Below are 10702 nucleotides of genomic sequence, written 5' to 3' on the forward strand. Positions count from 1 at the left end.
AAAGACAGGCAAAAACAAATCTCGAGAAAATGTAAAGAAAAGGGAACCCTTGTACACTCTTGGTGGGAATGTATATTTGTACAACCACCATGGAGAACTGTTTGGAGGGTCAAAAAAAGAAAAAAAAAAAAAAAAACAAGAAATGAGCTACCATGTAATCCAGTAATCCCACTGCTGGGTTTATACCGAAAAGAAAATAAATCAGTATATCAAAGATGTATCTGCACTCCTATGTTTGTTGATGTTTGTTGTAGCACTGATTACAATAGCTAAGATTTGGAAGCAATCTAACTCTTCATCAACAGATGAGTGGATCAAGAAAATGTGGTACATACACAATGGCATACTACGCAGGTATAAAAAATGATATCTAGTCATTTGCATCAACACTAATGGAATTTTAGATCATCATGTTAAATAAGTCGGGCATAGAAAGGGAAACATTGCATGTTCTCAATTATTTGTGAGATCTAAAAATAAAAACAATTTAACTCATGGACATAGAGAATAGAAGGATGGTTACCAGAGGCTGATAAGGGTAGTGGGGTGTTTTGGCAAAGTGGTTGTATTAGTCCCTTCTCACACTGCTGTAAAGAACTACCGGAGACTGAGTAATCTATAAAGGAAAGAGTAATTGACTCACAGTTTCCCATGGCTAGGGAGGCCTCAGGAAATTTACAATCATGGCGGAAAGTGAAGGGAAAGCAAGTCACATCTTTCATGGCAGCAGGATAGAGAGAGAGAGAGAGAAGGGGGAAGTGCCACACACTTTTAAACCATCAGATCTTGTGAGAACTCACTCACTCTCCTGAGAACAGCAAGGAGGAAACCCGCCTCCATGATTCCATCACCCCCGCCAGGCCCCTCCTCCAACACGACATTAGATTTCGGCGGGGACACAAATCCAAACCATATCAGTGGGGACAGTTAATGTGTACAAAAAAAGTAGAATGAATAAGACCTACTACTTGACAGCAGAACAGGGTGACTATAGTCAATAATAACTTAACTGTATATTTTAAAATAGCTTAAAGAATGTAATTGATTGTTTTTAACTCAAAGAATAAATGCTTCAGGGAATTAATACCCCATTCTCCATGCTGTCCTCCTTTCAAATTGCATGCCTGTATCACAACATCTAAGGTACCCTATAAATAATACACCTACCATGTACCAATAAAAATGTAAAAAAATAATTAATTTTTATAAAATAATACTGTACATATTGAGGAACAAAGATTAGAATAGCATCTGACTTCTCCAAGGCAATCATGCAAGCAAGAAGAGAGTAGAGTAAAATATGTAACATGTTGAGTGAAAACAGTAGCTACATGCATGCACTTTTTAAAAAAAGGATAAAGATATCTTGGTGGTGGTTTCACAACATTGTATGAACAATGTCACTGAATTGTACATTTTAAAATGGTTAAATTGGCAGATGTTGTATACATTTTTACTAAAATTAAAAAATGTAATAATACAACGTAACAAAGATTACTGAATCATATACTTTAAGCAGGTGAATTGTATGGCATATAAAGTATATCTTAATAGAGCTGTTTTTATAAAAAGAGAAAAGGAGATTATTCAGACTGAGCATTACTTGTGCCACTAAAAATAAATGAGAAACTCTGACGTGTTGCTATATAGTCTTCAATGAACCAGCTATCTTTCATTACGTTATTTTCTGTAGAAAAACTCTCATGTTTCTTTGATGTGTTTCTGCCATCAGAAGAGGAGATATTTTTATATTTTATCCTCTTGAATCTTTTGACTTGAAGACACGGTGCTACCAACTGTCCTATGACAATGTGTGCAGTTAGTAATCATTATGTTCTTCTGGTATACGTCTTAGCCTCCCCCAGTTCAAGGTAGGCAAGGTCTACACTTTCTCTACCCTATAATCTTGCTAAAAGGTTACTATTGTAAAATAAAACTAGTTAGATCAATCAGTGTTAAACCTACATTAATGAAGAAACAGACAAAAAAACATATAATGAATCTTTGTAACACATAAAAGTCCAATTCTCTGTCCTCAGGTGGTCTAAGAAGCCTTTCCAGGAAGAAGTAATAATATACCAATGATAGAACTGGTCAGTCTTATCATGGGTCAGAGGTCAGAGGCCTTCTGAAATGTAGGAGTAGGGATATCACAAGACTAACCACATAGATATTATAACACAGAGAGGTACTTTAGAGTGCCTCATTTAAACAATTAAGTTCTGTTCACAACTTAGGTGATTTATTGGTGGTATGGCAGACCAGTTAAAAATAACTCTATGTAACTTACCCTTAATCATCATGCTGGAAAGTCAAAATGCTAGTAATAATCTCTCAGTGAGTACCTACTATGGGCCAGATAGTATCATAATCTGGGTTCCCATAAAACAAGCATGAGATAAGGACTTGGGAACTTATTCCAGCAAGCAGGAATGTATCAGTGTGTGAAAACAATGAGACAGGGAAAGAAGAAAAGGGTTTAGTTTGTGTGGATTACGACTATTCAGGTGGCACTTAACCTGAGTGCTAAAGGTTAAGCAGGGCTTCAAATCAAAAATCTGTATAAGTATGTTCCTAGATGGGGCATAAAAATGTGTAAAGTCATGAGACAGGGTGACCTACTCATGAGACACCAAGAGGAAGAAAAAAAGACGTTTGAAATTGTGGCAAAGATAAAAAATACCATGAATTTGCTCAAATGGGAGAATGGTTAAACAATAATGACATCATCATGCTTTGTAATTCTGCAACACGATGATGATTAAAAGCAATCTTCTAGATCAGCAATTTTCAACCATTTTGGTCTCAGGACCCCTTTGCATTTTTGATAATTATTAAAAAGCCTAAAAAGCTTTTGTTTACAGAGGTTATATCAGTTGCTATTTGCCACATCAGAAATTAAACTGAAAATAAATTATTAATTGACTTTAATGTAATACTAATAATAAACCAATGACATGTTAACATAAATAGTACATTTTAAGAAGAAACTATATTTTCAAAATGAAATATATTGAGAGAAGTGGCATTGTTTAAAATTTTTGCACATATCTTTAATACCTCATTTAATAGAACACAACTGTATTCTCATATGTGCTTTTGCATTTAGTCTGTAATGAGATGTTGCTTTGTTTGATGCATACAAAGACAATTCAGCTTTACACAAATTACTAGCTGAAAAAGAAAAGGATATTTTAATTGCCTTTTCAACAATTTTAAATATCCTGTGATACTACAACAAAACTCAACTGGTAGGAGTCTCTTAAAGGTTACTACAGTGTGAAATCTGAAACTGTTTCAGTGAACATTTAGCGTGGTGAATGGATTTTTCTTCACATGGATGATTTTGTAATGTCTGCAAGGTCATGTAAAAATACTGCTTCACATTTGTAAATATCATCATGCATCTTATGAAAAAAGGTCTGAGATATTGGGAAACTGAAACTCATGGTGGTAGATACAAAATTTGCAAAAGTTTTAATTTTCCGTGAATTGTCAAGTATTATCATTGGCAGTAGCTACTATCCCTTGCTTTCATTGAAGTGGCATACTCATTTCATTTATAAATATCTTCAAATAACCAAGTCTGAAGAAGCATCATTTTTTTTCTGTTTTTTTTTTTTTTAGGGAAAATATGATGTTCCATGAAATATAGCCGCCAATGCAGTTCATAACTCAAATAATTATACAAATGCTTTTTCTGAAGATAACCATCTCACATCAGTATGTGATTTAGAAGTACTTTATGTATACTTCTCATTTTGTCATATGGCTTACTAAAAAGACATGTTCAAGAGTGGAACAGTAATTAAAATTAATCATGCTTTCTGCTTCATCAAGTACATTCTTCAGTGAAACTGGAATTTTTAAAACTGAAAGTGCATGACAGTGAAGAAAACATGACCACTTGTGCAGTTTGATGCCACTTTCTTAATTTATGCTAAGGTGCAAGCTGTGTTACTTACCATTGGTTTTACACCATCAGTACAAATGTCTACACGGTGAAAAAAAATAGTTTTGATCTTGCAGACTCCCTAAAAGCTTTGTGGGGAGCCCTAGACGTGTATGGAGTACCAATGCTATCTATCTATCTATCTATCTATCTATCTATCTATCTATCTATCTATCAGTATGTGTGTGTGTATATATATACATATATACATACACACACAATGTATGATGTATATCATACATGATATCTTCTGCTACATAATTCCAAATGCATAGTATCTTATTAAGCCTTAACCTTTACTTTAAAAAGAAATACAAAAATTGACTCAAAATTATGGAAAGAGAAAGCCTTTGTCCTTTTATTTCTACCTGCACTGTTTGAAAGCTGATTCTGAAGCTGTTCATTTTCCTGTACTTCCAATCTTCCCTGCTTCCTTAGCTTGGGTCTCCTGAGAAGCAAACTGCAAGACAAGATGAGGTATGCCAAATATTTATTTATGGAAGGAACAGGAGGTGAGGAGAGCCTTCATACTGTGATTCAGTTCTGACACCTCTGAAAGGGGAGAGAAAAGGAAAGAGAATTAAGTAGACAGAGGCTAGGATTACAGGGCAGTTCCAACGGTCGTTTAGCCAGGACCATGTGGAGACATCAAACTAAAGTCTTCCATTGTAGGAGTTCTATGTTCCTCCACAACAGACCTTACTATCTTCACTCTGCTCAGTCATTGGCTGGGTGAAGCCCATGGGCAGTGAGACTTTGGCAGGCATGTAGTGGTAGATTCACAAGGAGAGTAGCAGGGACCATCAGTCTACCATGCTACCTGAAGCATGACATCTGAGTGGCACATTTTCATGACCCTGCAATTTACCCCTTGTGCCAAACGAATCCACTTGTCCAAGCAAGTTTTTAGAACATCATCCATTGTTCCCAGGGTTCTGTCTTCCTGACAGAAATCTTAAAAACAAGAGTTTTGTGAACAAACTACAATCTCTGGCATTGTAATTGATCTTAGGAACATAACTGGCACTTATCTTTATTCTCTCTTCTCCACCACATAGTCTAGATTACCTTTACCCTCGGCTATCACTGAGGCAGAAAAGTAGAGTGGGCCAGAGGCTACAAAGCACGTCTAGGTCCTAAGTAAAATGAGGGGATATGTATCAGGACATTTACTTGCTCAGCTTTTCACTCTGCAAGGTCTCTCCATGGAGATAATGTAGAAGGCACTGGCACAGAACAATTTAAACTTTTGGAGGTGAATCTTTCACTCCTGAGAGCGTAATATTGTGAGGCATTTTTATATACTTTGATAATATCGGTGCTGATATCTTCTGCTAGGTAATTCAAAATGCAGAGTATCTTATTAAGCCTTAACCTTTACTTTACAAAGAAATATACAAATTCACAGCTAAATCCTCCTTAATAACAGTTGTTAGCTGACATTTGGTATATGCTTAATGGTTCCTGCTGTTTCTTGAGAGGTAAATATAATCCTACAGCATCTAATTTCCCTTTGGGACTATCATCAGGCCTCATCTACAGATACCCAAGGATATTCAGCTCTTAACCACTTCCTTGAATTTTATTTTATGTGCCTTTATTTTATATTAAAAATAATCATTGCTTTCTTCAAAAATTTGCTTCTCAAAAGTAACACCATACTTCTATCTTTTGGGAAATAAATTGAATTTGATTTCTAACAAAAGGTTTAGAATATCATTTCATCTCCCCCCGTTTTTTTTTTTTTTTTTTTTTTTTGCAGTGAAGGAAATCAAGACCCAGCATTAAAAAATGTGACATTTCCAAATGAATAAAGCAGGTTAACGGCAGAGTTGGTAGTAGATGGAGGTACCATCAAAATCCTTCCAGGTAAACAAAAGAAATATACAATCTGGGACAACTGTTATTTGGCAAGGTGAGAGCTAAATGAAACAGTGGGACAGTAACAGATGATGATAATGTTTGATAGAATTAGCATAAATTTCCATATTCTTTGATTTGACTTTAACAAATCCATTACATTTTAGTAATCCTGTCTTTGTTTTAATATGTTCAGTGGCTTTGCCTCCCTCATCTTAAGGGCAGTTATAAAAGAAATTATATTTACAATCAAATATAGAGATAAAATGAATGCTGTCTCATGTGTTATAAAAAGATAATTACCATGATAACAAGAGTATATTGAATGTAATTTAATTGCCTATATTCATCATCTTTCTTTGCTTATAGGCTAAACTGTCTACAAAAAAGTTATGCACATAGCATCGCAATTGTCCAAATACTCCCCTCTAGCCAGACGTGCTAGAATTTTCATAAAGCTTCCCTTTGGTTGGTTTCACTTCTCTTCACAAAACTTTCCATCAAGCTTGCTTCAGTCATCTCACAATATGCTAGTTTTTAGATCTCTAACAGCCCACCATTGTGTCTTATTTTTCTCTCAGTTACTTTCCACTTTTCTGTTCAAGTGAAGGAAATAATATGTCATGATATACTGTCTAGTCTTTGACTTCCCACAAAGAGTTGCATGTCATCTCCCACACCAGGAAGCCTTAAGGAGCAATTCAAGTTTCCTTGCACTTCCGTCTTTTATCTGGAACTGGAACTAGGGGTAGCAGAAGGTGGGGAAGTACACAGTTAAAACAAAAATAGAGTGAAAAATGTTATTCATATTGAATGTATCAAAATGTTAATTATTTCAATTTCTCTTAGGGTATGCTAATATTTTCTCTATGTTAAACTCGCACAAGTCACTAAAATATTTAGAATTCAATATGGTTATATTGACCAAGGTAGGCTAGGTTATGCTACAGTAACAAATACATTTCAGATCTCTGTGACTTAAAATAAGAAGTTATTTCTTCCTCAGATGACATATCCATCATTGTTTCACAGGGAAGCTCATCTATTGTAGCTACTCATTCCCCCCAGGTTGTCAGAAACAGCCATCATCTTGTAACATTGCTTGCCACTATACCAGAGGGAAAAGAAGACTCTACAATGTATGACATTATTAATTAAATGATGCAGTGAGGAAGGGACACAGTCAACTCTGTTCACACTCATCAGACAGAACTAATTCACTGTATGTTTGTTCCCAGAAAAAGAAACAATGTGTGGGGCAAACACAGCTAACGGCTATTACAAAGAAAAAAAACCATGTTTCTTTTGTTCTCTTGTCTTATGGCCCTTAAGAAAATATTAAAACATAACTATCTTCATTTAAAATATATATATATGTATGTGTGTGTGTGTGTGTGTATGTGTGTGTGTGTGTGTGTGTGTGTGTGTGTGTGACTCCAAGGATCAGTTTTCTGTAACTGCCCAGTGAAAATGGGAATATCCTCTGAATTGTCCTGACAAGTCTGCCTTCTGGTTAGGTTCTTTCAAGGGAAGTGATCTCAGTACCTAAGTGTCCTATATGTAGACACTTAGCATTGTTATTCAAGAATAGTGTTCTTTATTTTTGGCTGAAATTTAATTTGTCATAACTGTATTCCTCCAGGTTCTTCCCTCTAGAAAAATCAGAATTCAGTCATCCCTCAGATATCTGGGGGATTGGTTTCAGATCTCCAGGACCCCCACCATACACACACAATACGCAAATCTGCACACACTCAAGTCACACAGTTGGCTTGACAAAACCTGGATATATGGAAAGCTGGCCCTCTGTGTATACAAGTTTCACATCCCATGAATACTGTGTTTCAGATCCTGGTTTGGTTGAAAACAAATCCGCATATAAATGGACTTATGCAGTTCCAACGTGTGTTGTTCACAGGCCAACTGTGTATTAATAATAGCAGAAATAGTGATATGCATATAGAAATATACTAATTCTGAAAAGAACTCTATACATTAGGCAGTATTATCTCCATGTAAACAGTGACTACTCTTTCACATAACACAGTTTTAAATATATGAAAATAAGTATTTGCTAACCATTCCCACTTTCTCCAACTATTTCTCATGAAATGATTTCTAAATACTTTATCTCCTTCTTTGGCTTATTCTGAATGTACTAGTTTGGCGATACTCTTCTAGTGCTGTGGTTCTTAGAAAGAGCCATAGTACTCTAAATAGGGTTAGAACAGCACATAGCTAAATAGGATTTTTTTTCAGTTGCTATCTTACATTACTAGTGGTATAGACAATGTACACGAGTTGTTTAGTGTATTTATGTGTCTGCTTTAGCAGTCCCAAGTCAATCATCCAGCCTGATTTAATTTTAATTTCCTTTTATAACCTCAGCCCAGGACTTAGACTACAGTTCACTCTAAATATTCAGTGATAGATTTAAACCCTGTGCTTTCTTCTCCAATGTCTCTGAAGTAGTTTCCAATTTTTGCTGTATAAATTACCACGAACTTGGTGACTTAAAACAACACAAATGTATTGTCTTCCAGTTATGGAAGTCAGAAGTCTAAGGTAAGTTGGCAAGGCTGTATTTCTTCTGGAGACTACAAAAAAGGATCAAATCTTTGCCTTCTCCAGCTTCTAGAGGCTCCATAAACATCTTGGTTTATAACCCCACATCACTCTGACCCCTGCTTCCATCATCACATCTTCTTATTGGACTCTAACCTTCTTTCCTCCCTCTTATAAGGACCATTGTCATTACATTGTGCTTATCTAGATAGTCTCTGATCATCTCCACATCTCGACATCCTTAACTTAATCACATCTTCAATGTCACTTTTGCCATGTAAGGTAATTATCTTTGCAGTTTTGGGGGTTTAGGATGTAGATAACTTTCTAGAGCTATTATTTTGCCTACCACAATCTCCTATAACTTGTCTCCTTTCTCATTATGCTTCAGCCACCCTAACTGTATCATTCAGGGTTTTAAATTAAAAGTAACAGGGATGTATGCTGAATAATTAATGAGAAAATGAGCTTATTAAAATAAATTTTTAAAAATTGTTGGAAGGATTAAAGAATCAGGCTCCAGGCTATACATACAGAAATAGCAGCCAAAATTATCTTCAGAACTGGTGGCATGAGAGAATCACTGCAGCTATTGAGCACTAAATATGTACCACATCATTTCTGAGCCAGGAACGTAACTTTGCAGCATCATTATGACTGCTAAAGAGAAAAGGCCAATGACCCCTCCCCGGGCCTCTATCTCTTGAATCAAAATTTCAAATGACTGTGTCTGATTGTTGAAGCCTGAGTCATACTTCCGTACCCTATGTCTAAGCGTGTTAGTAAGGGCTTTCCAAAGAAACAGGACTAATAAGAGATAGGTGACAGGGAGAGACAGAGAAAGAGAGAGAATGATGAAAGAGGATTTAATTGGGAAATTGGCTCACACAATTGTGGAGACCAAGAAGTCCCATGATAGCTGCAAGCTAGAGATGCTGGCTCAGTCAAAGTCAGAAGGCCTCAGAACTAGGAAAGCCAATGGTATAACTCCCAGTCCAAGATCACAGGCCTGAGAACTCAGGGCAATGCTGGTACAAGTCCTGGGGTCCAAGGGCTGCGGAGCCTGGAGTTGTTGTCCAAGGAAAAGAGAAAGGGTATATCACAGCTTCAGCAGATGGATCAAAACATTTATCCTTTCTCTGTGTTTGTTGTCTCAGGGCACTCAGAAGATTGGATGGTACCTGTCTACGTAGAGGGCAGACGTTTCTCACCTAGTTCACTCAACTCACAGGATAATCTCTTCTGACACATACCCCAAATATAATGCTTTAACAAATTTCTAGGTATTTTTTAATCCAGTCAAGTTGACATCTAAAATTAAACATAACAGCAAGAAAGGCCAAAAAGTTAAATACTTAATATTTCACCTCTTGAAGAAAGAGGCATAAAGAGTTAAAAAGACAAGACTTCACTCTATTAAATCTTGCAACTGCAAAAAAAAAAAAAAAAAAAAAAAAAAAAAAAGACAAGACTTCTCAAAACAAAGGAAAGGCTTCAAGATTTCAGGTTGCCTGAACACATTGCAAATATCTGCATCCACCATAGCTCTCTTTCTAAATTATGTTGTTTGGTCCTGAATCAAGACCTTTGTACTTGTAATCACTTCCTCTCTGAACATTCTTTATGTTCTTCATATGGTTAACTCATTCTCCTTATTCAGATTTCAGCTCAAATCTCCTCTAAGTGGTCCATCTGGCAACATTATCTAATGTTCTTCCCTAGTCACCCTCTATCTTTACCTTGTTTTATCTTCTTTATACCACTTACCACTATTTAAATTTAACATAAATTTTACTTGTGGACTTATTATTGTTATGCATCCCCACTAGACTATAAGTTCCCTGAGAGTAGTGACCATGTCAATTTTATACATCACTATACTCTCATGTTGGCATAGTACCTGGCACATAGTCAGTTCTCAAAACATACTTGTTGAATTAAAAAAAAATGTGGTATAGTAGAAGAGGTACATGAATTGAAAGTAAACATACCAAAGTTTGAACCCTTGCTATACCAAATACAAACTATGTGACCTAAATTAAGTGATTTAACATATTTGGACATTTAATTTCTCATCTGTAAATAATAATGATGATAATAATAATGACAGAAACATCATTTTGAAAAAAAAATGTGTAAAGTCCTAGATCATTGCAGTAGAGAAGTTTGTAAAAGTTATCACTGATTCAGTAATTAATACTAAAAAGAGACTATGAGGATATATGTATATATACACATACATACATACACAGTTGAACCTAGAACAACAAACAACATGGGTTTGAATTGCATGGACCCATTTATACATGGATTTCTTCCACCTTA

General features: G+C 35.6%; 1 annotated feature.

The window, feature by feature from the left end:
• Positions 8474–9673: an enhancer, noted in NCBI's record as "P300/CBP strongly-dependent group 1 enhancer chrX:143882879-143884078 (GRCh37/hg19 assembly coordinates)". NCBI's record gives its function as "activates an origin of replication core promoter dependent on BRD2, BRD4, P300/CBP, MED14 and CDK7 cofactors, with strong dependence on P300/CBP, by STARR-seq in HCT116 cells {active_cell/tissue: HCT116}" and the evidence as "EXISTENCE:reporter gene assay evidence [ECO:0000049][PMID:35650434]".

Source organism: Homo sapiens, chromosome X (genome assembly GCF_000001405.40).
Source record: "Homo sapiens chromosome X, GRCh38.p14 Primary Assembly".
Lineage (NCBI taxonomy): Eukaryota > Metazoa > Chordata > Mammalia > Primates > Hominidae > Homo > Homo sapiens.